This window comes from Homo sapiens, chromosome 4, assembly GCF_000001405.40.
Source record: "Homo sapiens chromosome 4, GRCh38.p14 Primary Assembly".
NCBI classification, from domain to species: domain Eukaryota; kingdom Metazoa; phylum Chordata; class Mammalia; order Primates; family Hominidae; genus Homo; species Homo sapiens.
The window spans coordinates 23,744,690-23,759,890 of record NC_000004.12 but is presented as its reverse complement, the minus strand read 5'-3'; the positions used below and the strand labels follow the sequence as shown (position 1 = coordinate 23,759,890).

Sequence of the window (15,201 nt, the reverse complement as noted above, 5' to 3'; positions counted from 1 at the left end):
AGTATGAAAATAGACTAATACACTCTTTTTCTGACTCACTGTCATCCATCCATCCATGCATCCATCCATCCATTCACTGATTTAATTAACTAATTTAACACATTGATATGCACATTTTTATGCTAGGTGCTGGGAATACAATGGTGAACAACACTGACAAACTTTCTTCTTTGGAAGTTCACAGTTCAGCAGAAAAAAATCAGTTAATAAATCATCATTTGTGATCAAGTGTGAGGTACAACAATAATATGCAAGATACAATGTGACTTCATTGAAAGGGCACTTAATGTTGTTTATCAAGAGGCAGAACAGACTTTAAGAAAAATATCTAAAGTGAAAAACAAATGGTCACTAAGAGCTCGCTGAGCAGGGGTAAAACTATGTTCAAGAACTAGAAAGGTACACATTTCCTAACTGGAACATCAAGTGGGAAAGACAAAAGGATGAGAGATTAAGGGAAAAAAAAAGGCAGAATGCCCAGCTGCAAAGGGCATTCTGAAGGGCTTGGGCTTTAACTTAATGGCACCAAGAAGCCTTTGATAAGTGTTAAATAGATGAGTGACATGATTTATTCATTTTGCATTCCAGAAGTATCACTCTGGCCACAGTGTGGAGGACAGACCGGATGGGGCAAAACTGTAGGCAAAGTCATCTGGGATCAGTCAGTTACAGTCACCAGGGAAGAAATAGTAATGACTTGAACTTTGGCACTGGCCATTAGGATAGATAACGGTGGATGGGATGGAGAGATGTCTAGGAAGTCAAGTCAAGCAGAACTTGTCATGGGCCTTCCTTATGGATTGTGTACTATAATGCCTATATTGCTATTCATCTGGAGTAAATATCACTGAATTAAGATTTCATGCCATGTTTGTAACATCTAAATGAGTGACTGGGGGCTTACGGGAAGCCTGTGCCTGCAAATATACATTTTCATATTTCATAATACAGGACAAGAGAACCTCTCATTTTAATGAAATAAGCACAATATTTACAGCAAAGGATGGGTTGTATTAGAGCACCAGGGGGCTTGGTTTACACTTGAATTATTTTCCTCCAGTTATGGAACCAAACGGAAGCTCCACTGGGAGGCACTGAAATAAGGAACGCAGCGGGGAGCTTTAGGGGAGCTCTTCCCTACAGTAGTTGTTTATTTTGAAAGAAATGTATGGTAGAAAATATTTCCAGCCACTCAAATTCTACTTTCTGGTTCACGTGACTTTTTTTTTTTTTTTTTTTTTAAAGGGAAGGAAGCCTTGGAGCCAGATTCTAAGAAAGCAAAATGACAGCAACAACTGGGGACAATCTGGACTCAGCCTGGGTGCCCATGCTAGGCAGTGATGTAGAACCAGAGAAGCCTCATTTTAAAATCTGTTTCACAGCCAGAAAGTACATGAATAGAAGCTCCTTTTTCAAATTATATTTCCTACCTATTGAATTTAACTTTCATCCACTTGAAAAGTCTCCTATTTTACTGCCAGTCATCTCAGTCACTATTCAGCAGACTATCAAGAGCAGGTTTTTCTTGCCTGTGGAAGATACTTTTATTGTTGTTGTTTCATGATCTATTCTGTAACATACTCTTATTTCTATCTGGCTCAGGCCTAATTCCCAATCTCTCATCATTTCTGAGCCTAAGCACCTCATGCCTTGTCTTATAAAGAGTTACATCACATTTAAACTGGCATACAGATAAAGCCAGATATAGAAGCTCTTTCTTGCCATTAAGTTATGGCTCTCATGCCATTGCTTTCTCATCATTTCCCAGGGAAGAATGCAGGGTGTTAGAGGCCCTTCAGTACATAATGGCTTTTTTTCTCGCTCCATCATCACAAAGCACTTTCTTAAAGGATGGTGGAGAAGATAGAGTTCCTGTGATACCACCATTAGCTTCTGCCCGGATGATTGGAATAAACTTCCACTATCACTTCTGCCATCCTGCAACACACTCTCTAACCTGCAGCTAGTGGAATTTTAAAAATATAATCTCCCCTTTTCTGTCCCCTGTTTTTAAGCCTTGGGAACTATTTGAGCCCTTCATAATCTTACCTCTGATTAACTCTCCATAGATTACTGTGGTTTATCCAGACTGATTTTCTATAAGTTCCCTGGATAGGCTGTGCCATTCCTTTCATCCAGGACTTTCACATATAATTCTGGCTCTCTAGAATAGTCATCCCTTTCTATTCTTCAGGTCTCAGCTTAACCCTCATTTACTCTGGTTTTTTTTTTTCCCTAATTATTCAGAAGCCCATAGTTCTCTTTATTTTCCTTATCACATCTCTTAACAATTCTGTTTTGTAGTTGCCTGTTCAGTCTGTCTTCCCTGATAGAACATAAGCCTCTTGAAAGCAAGGACTGCATTTCTCACTTTTAAATCATCGGCATCTAGCACCATGACTGCAGTATAGTAAGAGCTTGGTAAATAATTGTTAACTCTTTAGGGTAATAGAAAAGAAAAGTTCTCAGCTTCACAGCAAAAATCCCTCTCATTAATCAATGGAACTACCTAATATTAATTCATTAATTCATGTTCACTCAATAAATATTTTGAACAGCTTATAAATATATCATGGACTATGTTGAGTATTGAGGATATGGAGATGAATAAAGATATATTTATTTTCCTCAAGAAACTCTGGGGAAATAGAGACATAAATGGTTATAATATGATGTAATATATGGCATAATAAATGTATGCATAAATTGCTATGGAACATAAAGGAAGTAATGTTTGTTTACCTGAGCATCTAAAGGGATAGACTAATATATTTTGTTAGACTGATAACCACTTACACTTCATCAAGACTCATAACTGAGAAGAACTCAGTTTATGAGTTTTTATAAGAAGGGGGACTTATAAGAAGAGCTCATAACTGAGCCTGATGAAGTGTTAAGTGGCTATCAGTCTAACAAAAGGAAAAAATCAATTCCTAAAAGGAAGAACCAACACATGCAAAGGATCAAAAGCTGATGAGAACATTAGCATATCCAGTAAGCTGAATGATCAATAATGTGCCGGATGATGGTCATTCATTGAACCTGCCAGGCTAGCAAGGGGCTAAATCATTATGTCTTTTGATGCAAATAAAAAAAAAATTGGGGGCTACTGATTCATTTTAGGTAGGAGAGAGATATGCTCAGGCTGGTACTCCAGAAAGATCACTCTAGCACCAGTGTAGAAGATGGATTGGAGGATGGTAATATTAGAGGCCAACGAGACCTGTTAGGAAGACTTTTTAATTGCATTAAAAGTATGAGAAATATGGTAGACCTGCTGTATGTAAGTTTCTGACCATATATCTGGAGAGAAAGTGAAATGATTATGAGTGGTTTAGGAGGTAGAACTGCATTGCAAAGGTTTGAAATATGCTCTTCCTTCTTGGATTATTATTTCCTCCTTTCTTTAGCCAAGCCATTCATCCTTTATCATGCAATTCAAGGGTTGCCCCTGGTAAGTTCTCTCTGACTCTTCCACCGCAGTCTGACTAAGATACCACCTCCTTAAGCTCTTATCGAATATAGCATGTTGCCTCTGCAACATTAAATTTTAAGCAGTTTGAAAGCTAAGAGAAGATTCCACTTAGCAAAATGTTATCAGAGTGACTGGCATAGGGTATCCATTCAATAACTATTTTTTGCATTGATGAATGTATGAATGATTAAATGACTCCTCAGAAATGGGAAGTGAGATTCTCAGGCTTCTTACTGGACGATAAGGAAAATGATAGGAATAATCACAGAGATAGAAATAACGGGGAGAAACAAGTTTGGAGAATAGTTTGGGAAAGGTGACAATGATGACATCTATTTGGAACAGGATGGACTTGAGGGGCTTATGAGAAGAACTCCTAAAAGTGAACTGGTATGAAGTCCAGAGTTGTGACTTATAATTTATAGAGAGATGGTAGTTTAGTTATCTATCTATAGATGATTAAATCATAGTTCAGTCACCCAGGAGCATTAGGTAAACTGATAATAAAATGGTCTCAACAAAGAGGCCTGAGTATCACCAACATAGTGGTTGGTGAAGAGGTCAAGGAGAACCACAACAAATGTGTGGACACTAATAGAGTAGTTTGGAGAGAGTGTTGCTATAGGAGACAAGAACAGAATACATTTCAGGAAATAGTCAACAATATCAAATATTTCCAAGAGGTCAGGTATTATAAGGGTAAAAAATAATCAGTTCATTTGTTTTGTAATTAGACTATTTGTTAAGTTATTTATTACTTATAATGATTTTAATGGAGCCTTGGGGTTACCACGGAGTTGGTACTGGATTGAAAATTAGAGTCATTAGAGCCAGTAAGAGTAACATGTTCTAAAAACCTTGGTTGTAATAGACGAGAAATAGGTGGGGTAAAGAAGGAGGAGAAATGAGAAGTGAGCTACACAGTGGAGGGAGTTTTTTTTTAATATGGTAAAAGATAAACATGATCACATCTTGAGAATAAACAGTGATTTAAGAGGGAAACATTAATAATACAGGGGGAGGAGATGTTTCCTGAAACAAGGCTTAGGATAAAATGGTATCGAGAGCCCAGATGAAAGAATTAGCATTGCCTGAAAGAGAGTCACATCTCTGTCTGAGATTAGAAGGAAGAAAGGATCGGTACAGGCCTAAGTTTGAATTAAATGGGGAATTCATTCACACTTGATTTATTCTATTTCTCCAGCAAGAAGGTATCAAGATTATCTTCTGAAAGTGAAGGGGACAGAGGTGATAAAGAGAACTTGTAAATGGTGACTGTTGACTGGCTTCTCTGGGAATTAAACATGGAAGTAAGCGGAGTGATAAACAAAATTATTGTGTAGCTGTGCAGACCTTACTAAAATGAATGAAAATGTATCTACTGTGTATTAGTTTGCACAGTTGTGTGATTTTTTTCAGCATCAGGAAATAGTGTGTGTCAAACTAAGATAAAGAAGGCAGATAATTATAGTGATGCAAGATGGCATTTATGGGGTCACACTTGAGTTTCTAACCTGAGGTTCATGATTCATAGTTTATATAACACCTGAGGAGTAGTTATCTTGTGGACTCCTAGAAAGGAATGCGACAATTTGTCTCTCTCTGGTGCACTCTTACTCTCACTCTGTGTGTGTATGTATACACATATATAAATATATATGTGTATATATGTGTGTCTATATATATACACACACATAAATATATATGTTTATATATTTATGTGTATATATACATATATGCATATATTTATGTGTGTATATGTATACCCATATATATATGCATTTATACAGAGTCCTTAGTTTTCACACAACTTTCAAAGCAGTTGTTTTTTAATCTAAAATTTTAAGATTACAACGATCGAAGGAGGAGTATAATAGCTGCTGTTGAATAATACTCAAAATCTGGTAAGACAATTATGATATGATTCTTTCTTTTGGTTTGCATATTTGTAAGGGAGCTACTTGAATTCACATACACATACACACACATGAAAAAGGGTTAATAGCCAGAATATATAGATAACTCTTGAAACTCAATAATAATGAAACAAACAACTCCAAATAGTTTCCATATTTGAACTGACAGTTCACTACAGAAGATATATGGATGACAAACGGTCACATGAAAAGATATACAACAGTGTTAACCATTAAAGAAATGCAGATTACAACCACAAAGAAATACCACTACCCAATTATTAGAATGGCTTAAATTGAAAAAAAAAAAAGTGACAGTACCAAATGTTAGAGATGATGTTGGGGAACTGGAATGCTAATATATTGCTGGTACAAATTCAAAATGACACAGCTCTTTATAAAACAGTTTGGTAGTTTCTTATGAAGTTAAACATAATTTACCACACATCTCATCAATGCATTCCTTGGTGTTTACCAAAGAGAAGTGAAGATACATGTCTACACAGAAAACTGTATGTGGATTTTAATAGTGACTTTATTTATAATTGTCACAAACTTGAAACAATGCCAATAATTGCCAGCTTGTGAATGATTAAACAAAGTGTAAAACACCACTCAGCAATAAAAAGAGAAATGAAGTTCTAAAGCATGAAACAGAATAGCATATTACGCTAAGTGAAAAAAGTAAGACTCAAAAGGCTACAAGACTGTATGATTCCTCTTACATAGCATTCAAAGAAGGCAAACTAAAGGGAAAGACTTCAGATCAGAGGTTGCTAGGGTCTGGGAGTGAGGAAAGTGTATCGCCTACAAAGGAACACAGAGAAATTTGGCAGTGTGTGGGGCGAAGGGTAGTGATAGAAATATCGTACATCTTGACTTTTGGTGGTTACTTGACTACAAAAGTTTATCAAAATGCATAGAAATGTTCATCTAAAAGAGTATATTTTATTATATGCAAATTATATGCCTCAATACATGCAGGAGAAAATAGAGCCCAAAGCACTACAAAAAAGTGCTCCAGAAGGAGAATGATAGGACAGTTGCATAAATGGTTTTGGATTCTTTTTTTTCTCAGCATCACCTTTCACATCGAGTTTATTCTCTTTGATATAGCCAATCCCACAATTACAGATGCAAAGCACAGAACCATCTAAGGTTTTCACTGAGAAGAACTCTGGAAAGAGAATCTCCATGTGGTAACAGTGGGAGAAAGAACCCTACTGGCAAGATGAAAATCAATGGAAAACATCTGGGCCCTTCCTATCTAGGGTCTTTTTCCCAACTTATTTTCCATTGAAACTTTGAGTTTTATTAGTAACAGACTCCATTGCCCCATAGAATTATACTGAAACACAAACTTGGCTCCAGGGAGAGATAATCAAGTTAGTTCTTACCAGTTCCTATTTTGCCTTAGAGAAAAATAGTGGAAATGAGTTTATTAGATCTTGTACACTGATTAAGGCATGTCTTCCTTGGAATGCATGGAGAGTAGGACTATTTTCTTAAAAATAATGAAAAAAGAGCTTTAGCTTCGTGAGGTCCAACCAAGGATAGGACACAGAACTATCAGGCTTTGGCCAACCAGGGAACAACTTGAAGGACCTGAGCACATGGGGGAGAAACAAACATGAATGATAAACAAGAAGTGAAATTGAGACTGGAGCAAGAATAAGTGAAATTGAGACTGGAAATGTACTAAGAATAACATGATAGCAACTTAGTCATTATTTAATCTCTTACAGTACCAAGCACCATAGTGTTTCAGATATATTTTGGGGTTGTAATTAAGGGAAATCACAATGAATTTCATAGAGTTGAGTTGAATGGCCTCCACTCAAGAAAAGAAAGAAGGCTCTGAGTCATAGTCTCTAAAAGAGTATTTTTTGTTTGTTTGTTTGTTTTGAGACAGAGTCCCACTCTGTCGCCCAGGCTGGAGTGAAGTAGCACAATCACAGCTCACTGCAAACTCTGCCTTGTAGGCTCAAGCAATCCTCCTGACTCAGCTTCCCTAGTAGCTGAGATTACAGGTGTGAGCCAAAATGCCCGGCTAATTTTTGTATTTTCACCAGAGATGGGGTTTTGCCATGTTGGCCAGGCTGGTCTCGAACTCCTGACCTCAAGTGATCTGCCTGTGTCAGCCTCCCAAAGTGCTGGGATTACAGGTGTGAGCCACCATGCCTGGCCAAAAGTAGGTTTTGCTTATCATAAAAATGGAAAAATCCACCCCAAGAGTGCCTGTGGTACCAAGACGTGATTCAAAACCTTGTCTCCCCAAAATAAGGTGTCTTCAAAATGTTGTTGATTATGGTGATGATAGGGTGCCTCATGGACCATACTGTTTCTTCTTAGCCTCAGATATCTATTATGTTAAAATGCTTCAAGGGCAGTATGTTGTTAACAGCTGACATACTCTGTAAAGAATTCCTACATAAAATCAGTAGCAGGAAGATTGTAGTGAAACCATCTGAAATCACGCATATGACAGTTTAATAATAACACCTCTAAGAAGCTACAGCCACTGTTAAACAGGGGGCATGATTCCTTTGACCTTAGTTCCCAATAAGAAAGTTACCCCTTCCACGAGAGAGGCAGAATGAAATGCTCTCCCATCACTCCTCTGTGCAATTACAGAGTAATGAGAGGAAAGGGGAGGAAGGAAAGGGAGAGGAAGAATATAGGGAGAGAGGTGGGGATAAAGGCATTGCCAGGGTAAAATAACACCCGGGTAGAACTTTGCAAAAATATATTGAAGGGATAACAAATTTTAGAAATAGCATAGCTAAATAAGCAGATAGCCCAACATTTGAGAAAAATGAACTTGGATATAAAAATGTCCTGGATATAAGAACAGAACAACATAATGCAGACTGCTATGGGACAAGAGCAGCTCAATTCTCATGAATTGAGGGTTAGCCAAATACAGCCACTGCCAATAGAACGAAATCTATACTAGATTGAACCCACTCACTGTCAGCTAGGGGTTTTCATCAATTTCTTAGGGAGGAATAATTGGAAATTAAAATGGGAATTTCATTTACATACAATTTGAATTTGCTAAATATAATTTTGTTTACATTATACATATGGTTAAACAAGAGTTTCTTTCTGTCAGAGTCCTAGCAAATAAATGATGACATACACAAATCAAGTAATTTTAAGAGTGTTTAATAGAGAAAGTGCCTTCAAAGATATAGGAAACCACAAAGAATAGAGAGAAATAACCAGGGACTATGAATGTGGGGGTGGGCAGCACACATTAACATTTCTAGGAATAAAGGAGCAGAGAGAGAGAACAGTTACTGGAAGCAAAGGGAAAAATATAAGGTGAAGATAGGCCCTTTCATCTTCTAATGAGAATATAGCCAGTCAAGCACAATGACTTAATGAGGAGAGTGAGGAAAACTACACGATTTCTTCTTTTTCCCTTTCCTTGGTTTCTAGCCAGTGCTCCCCATTGGTTGACTCTAACAGGAAGCCAAAGATTCTGGGAGTCCATTGATGAGACTTTTATAGATTAGCCTCCCAAAACAAAGAACAAGATGTGGGAGAGAGAAGTGAGCAGATCTAGAGAGAAAAAGAGATAACCTACAACACAATCAAGCCCTCTCGTCCCTGGGCAACCATTCTTGTTCTGTAATATGTACAGCCCAAACAAAGAGACACACAAAAACATTACTATTAAATATATCATAGTGAGGGTGATGTCAATTTCTTCATTCTTCTACATGAAACTTAAAACGTTAGCCAACAGTCATGATATAAATTAGTGGAAGATGAGAAAGCATAAAGAATCATAATGTTTAGTTGCTTTTGTTCGGCTTTAGTGGCTGATCATAAGGCCTAAGTTGTCCATCATAATTCCCATCTTCTACCATCTATTTCAGGTTCCTCACACCTTGGCTGGATGAGTGGTGACCCAAACCTTTATTTCAATAGGTCTGTGTCCTTAGTGATCTTGTCTTTGGTGGGAGTTGAGGAGGACACTGGGTAGATTCGGTTTTCTATTCATTATTACTATTAGATAAGAAGTATTAAGAGATGTCCCTAGGGACATTTGATGTTTGAAATCTGGCCCTCCTTGTATTCATTGATGCCAGCAATCCAATGACCCAGGATTAGCCACCTGTGCAAGCATAGACACTCTTGTCTTACCACTGATGTGCAGCTGCATAAGGAACATGAAATAGCTGAGGGGAAGAATCAGCTTCTATTTCAAGAAAATCAGGCTCAGTATCTTGTTGCAGGTGTCTCTCACTGGCATTAGGATCTCCAAATCCATTAAGCTTTTGTATGATTAAATCAGTGAGTGTCACGGGTATTAGCCCATTGTTGCATTGCCCTTGCCTTAAAATGTATTACCTGGTTGGAGGTCATGTTCTGAAGGGTACTCTGTTAGTTTCCTAGGTAGATGTAACAAAGTACCACAAACTGAGTGGCTTAGAAACCAGAAATATATTTTCTCACTGATCTGGAGGCCAAAAGTCCTAGACCAAAGGGTTGGAAGGTCATGTTTCTCTGAAGGCTCTAGGAAACAACCTGTCCTGGGCCTCTCTCATAGCTCTTGGTAGTTCAGGCCTTATGGAAGTAGAACTCCAGTCTTGACATGGCATTCTTCCTGTGTGTGTGTCTGCTTTTGGGTCCAAATTTCCCCTTTTACTAAGGACACCAATCATTGCATTAAAGGCTCACCCTGCACTAGCATGGCCTCATTTTACTAAACTAATTATATCTACAATGACCTTATTTCTGGATAAGGTCATATTTGAGGACCAGAGAATCAGGACTTAAATATATGAATTTGGGGACAAAGGGGAAGCACAATTCAACCCATAGCAGGTACCATGAAGGTCAGTAAGGCTATTTATCCTTCTACACAAAGTGTTCAACAGGGTGTGCTACCTAAAGCTCTACCAACGGGAAGAATTATAGTCTTCCTGAAAATTGGAAGGACTTCATTATAGTTCCTACTCCATGAGTTAGGGCATTTTAAATGACCACTTTTGTTATCTTTATAAAGTTTTGAATCAAAAAAAAATTCTACCAGGTACTTATTATATATAAACACCAAGGCCGAGTTGACCACCAGACCGTGTAAGTATCTCCCTAGTAAATATCGATTTAAGGATCCTTCTTTCTGTCTGTGTGTTCTTTGTTCCACATATTTTCAATGAAAGTTGAATATCTTGCTGAAGCAGTTCTGCACAGATGAAGACAGACTCAAATAAAGGAAAAACTTTGCTTTTGATTAGATCCAGTCTTTCTGCATTAGCACTGGTATTTTTTTTTTTTCCTCATCGGAAACAAGTCTAGAAAAAACTCTACAGATGGTTTATTCTTGTATTATTGGTTCTATAATCATATTTAACTTTAATTATTTTTAAGACCAACATGTGGCTGTGTATGCACACACACATGCACACACCCAAATAGGAAGTAAACAGCCATTTGCAAGATATATGATTTGAGTTTCAATAAAATGCCATTTCTTGCCTCAATCTCTCTTAAGTACACTTTGAGTTCTAGAATTATCACTATGTACCAGCCAAAAATCTTTCCTGCTACAGTGTTCTAATCAGAAGTTAAAGTTCTAATACAATTTTTCCTTAGAAAAAATAGCTCTAATGCAGTGAAAAGATGACAGGCTTGGGGATAGAAAAATGTAGACATTACCTTAAGTCCTGCCCCTAATAGTTCATGTAAATGAGACAAATTATATATATTTGCTCTTGTATTACTTCATTTTAAAGATTAAAAAATTTGATAAAATCAGGTTTTCTGAAATTTGACTCATCCAAAGAATCTCATGGAATCCTTATTAAATGACGGCTTTCTAGACCCCATGCAGTACTAATCACATTGAAATCTCTGCGGAGAAGTCAGCAGACTTTTAAATATTCAACCTAGCTCCTGCACCCCAACCTAAGTTCTTATGAACCCACAACTTGGGGAAATGCCGCGTCAGGTTATTTCTAAAGCCATCCCTATTCCAGTTATCTGTGGAAACTAAATAAAGACCACTGTACCAATTAACCCATTAGCTCACTTTATTCCTAACAGCTTTCCAGTTATCACCAAGCAGATACTGTCTTAAGGAGTAGGGCCTGGGATGGGTAACTTGTGATGATCAGACAGTTCGGGGCAGCAGAAGGCACAGATGTCAGGTGCGACTGAGGAAATATGGAAAACTTGAGGACAGAATGAGGGCCTCATGGATAAATTTGGAGATACGAAAAAAACTGCAAATGTGTACATTATCTACGAGTGTGTGTGTGTGTGTGTGTATATATATATATATATATATATTTATAGAAGAAACAGACTGTCCAAATTATGGATACATTTATGGATTGCTAAAAATGGTAGAGTAGATCTATATTTATTGAAATGGAAAGATGCGCATGATGGATTTCGAAGTGAAAACTATATATGTCTCTTAGCTTTCATTTTGGAAAAAGAAATAGTCCCTTTGAATATGAAGACTATGCATTTGAAGTATGAGTGAATTTCTTTGCATGGTGAGAGTACAGTTAATATTTATGCCTTTTTTTCTTCTCTTTCTTTGTAAACTGATCTTTCTTCTTTTACAATGAGAATTCAATACTTTACAATCATAAACAGCAATAAAGTGATTTCCATTCTGACAATAAAAGAGAGTGCAGGCTGCATAGGGAAGGTGAGGATGGGGGTTGTTGTTGGACACATAAAGAAACCAAGTAGAGCAGGTGTCAGATAAAGAAAAGGGAAAGCAGAGAAGAGAGGGAAGAACAGCTAAGCCTGGTAAACTCTGCCTTCTCCTAAGTTCTTATCACCTTGGCACATTGGCCCCCAGGTTGCAGTCCTGCCCTTCTGAGGCTAGTAAGAAACTTGTGAGTCAGCCCAGCAGGGATAATTGCCGTGCTCAAGCTATATTGGATTGTTTAAGATTGAACACCTTTCCTTCTGCTTAGCAGCCTGCAAACTGGCCTGGGGCCACCTGCTCCAAGGCCCAATGTATTCATTTCAGATGTGCAACCCACGATGGCAGGGTTGACTAGCAGCTTGGTGGGAAAGCAAGGGAATGGAGGCTATTTATAGCAGATGGCAACAAAGGTTTCCTTTCTTTCCTTTACCACTGGTTGTATTTCTCTGAAACTCTGCCCATACTGTGCAGAAATCAAAAGGGCAAGAGACCAAGTTCTTCAGAGCTGGTTGGAAAGTTCCAGGGCTCTGTTTTTAGAGCAAATCTGCCAGCTTCAGAGGAGGTTGCAACCACCCCTGGATTCTAAATCAGCTTGATGGTGGTGCAAATAGATGCAAATAAGGGTCAAATCAATTTCCATAATGAACAGCACGAGAAAAGCAGACTCCCCTCCACCTGACTCAAAATTATTAGAAAATCCAATGAGGGGGAAAAGAAAGAAAGAAAAAATAAAACACAAACACGTGAGTAACTTGATTTTTGGATCTTGGGAATAGAAACTCTAAGGTCCAAGAATTATTCTGGACTTTACGTTGCAGGCTTGTGTAGGAAGGGATAATTCCAGTGCAGCCCTTCTGAGGATTTTGATTGTGACCGGGCCTTAGCTTTCTTTATCATGCTTCATCCTTCCCTGTTCCTGAGCTCCACTTGTTACCACACCCTGGTTGGTTGAGATGTAATTCATCTACCATAAAATTTACACTTTTATAGTGTACAATTCAGTGGTTCTTAGAAGAGTCACAGAGTTATACAACCATCATTACTATCTAAATTTGGAACTTTCATCACCCCTAAAAGAAATATTGTAGTTATCAGCAGTCACTTCCCATTCTTCCCTCCCTTAGACTCTGGCAACCACAATTGACTTCCTTTCTCTATGGATGTACCTATCCTGGAGATTTTGTATGAATGTAACCATACACCATGTGGCCTTTTGTGACTGGCTTCTCTTGCTATGCCTAGTATTTTCAAGGTCTGTCCATGTTGCAGCATGCATCAGTGCTTCATTGTTTTTTATGGTAGGTTGTTCTTTTTAAGCAAAACCATTGCAGAGGCCATGTACCGCTGTGTCTCAGAGGATTGCAGTGAGTTCCACATGTTTCCTGGAAAACCACGTGGATTAGGAGATGATAGTAACATGGCTTAATCTTATTACTTTTTTACTAAGTCTTTGGTGACTCCCTTTAGCTGCTGATTTCCCTGCATTTTAAAAATTACGTTTAAGTCATTCAACTAATACTGGGCTGAGTCAACTTACGTTTATAATTAACAGGTGATTTTATGAGCCACAGTGCAGAAGCATTCATTTTCAAAAACTATTTTGGTACTTCTGGCACAGCCTATGTCACTACATATGGTTGACTTGCATCTATGAAAGAGATGAGAGTTACTAGAGCTATAATACATATGGGCCACTGACTGAACCATCTGAGAAAATTTTAATTGGTGTGAGTAGGGAATGCAATAATTTATATGGATCCATTACTTTTAAATGCTTAAGTCTATGAAGGGAACTAATTGCATAGGTTTTATTTTCTGTAAGGTCTTGAATGCCTTTGGATGACCCGATATATCTTCGTATAAAGTGATACTTCCATGCAAGGCATTATCTTTAAGAGACATTTATCAAATGCTTCCCTCGTGCATGCCCATACTTTGAAGAAATGCGATTCACATCAGGAATTATGCACAGCAAACCTTCTGCTCCTGACTATTCAGCCAATAGAATCTCACATTTAACAGGCAAATACACAGGCAGGTGGTATAATAAAAACTGAGGTTCTTGATAATGGCTCTGAAGTAGTGTTTAAATCTGTTAGAGGACAGGAGAATCAAGCTTAGCCTTAAATTGTGTTCATTGCTGGGATTCAGCTATGTCAGGGCATACTTGACAAATGGGTGGAAAGTATATGCCAAAAATCTATTTTTCCACCAAGTACTAACAAAGGAGGGATCTGCTGGGAGAGAACTCATTTATTCCAAGGCTTGTCTGGGATCCCAGCCTTGGGATATGAGTTCTCTTAAAGTTGATGTGACATTGCAGAGGGTATCCAAGCCATGAAACGGACTCAAAGATCCGGAAGAAGAATACTAGTATTTCATATTCACATAATATCATGAAGACGATGCTAAATTCTTGTGACTATTTTTTCTAAGGTAACAGACAAGATATCAAAGAGATTTTGATCTTGTGTTAGCCCATTTCAGGCTCTGTTCCCAGGCACACAAGGGTTCAGATTCACTGTGCATAGAACTGGGATGGGAGACTTTGAAGAGTGCTAACAAGAGTGACTTTCTCTTCTAATGGAAATACAAGACAAATAAATTTACTGTATCTAGTAATCTGACTCTATTATTGGAACATAAATAATGGTGATTGTAATAAAATTCTTTAGATCATTCCTATTGTACCCTAACCTACAGGCTCTCTCAATCTCTCCCACACTAAAAACTCTATAGAATATTGAGTCACAAGACAAAATAATTTTTGTACCTATGTCACAAGTGTAATACAACAGATGCAGCAAAGTGTTTTCTCCACTTTTGACACAGAACCCAGAGTTACTCTGGCACATCAGGAGAATACCTAGGGCTCGGGTGGCAGAAGAATAGGAGGAGGCAGTGCCTAGACGTGGCTGTGTGAGGGCAGAAGGATGATAGAGGGTTGAAGGGTAGATTACTACATTGATGGCATGAATGAGATTGATTAAGAAGAGGTACACAGCTTCTTGGGTGGAGCTGCTGTGGTCATACACTTTCTTTGCCAATAGCCACCATTCCTTCTTCCTACACTCTCCGTTTGGGGAAGGCTGAGATGCCATGTACACAGGCACAGTGAGGACACCATG

General features: G+C 38.0%; 2 long non-coding RNA genes across 3 annotated transcripts in view; one reads left to right on the top strand and one right to left on the bottom strand.

Moving 5' to 3' along the window:
• Window positions 1-15,201, bottom strand: part of LOC105374528 (uncharacterized) — a 50,374-nt gene that overhangs the window by 9,157 nt on the left and 26,016 nt on the right. For both annotated transcript variants that reach the window (XR_925476.3, XR_925477.3), the window contains one exon: window positions 1,431-1,529. This is a non-coding gene — a long non-coding RNA (uncharacterized LOC105374528). The remainder of the gene's footprint in view (window positions 1-1,430; window positions 1,530-15,201) is intronic.
• Window positions 1,252-2,562, top strand: LOC124900680 (uncharacterized). Its single transcript, XR_007058076.1, has 2 exons — window positions 1,252-1,389; window positions 2,305-2,562. It is a non-coding gene; the product is annotated as an uncharacterized LOC124900680 (long non-coding RNA).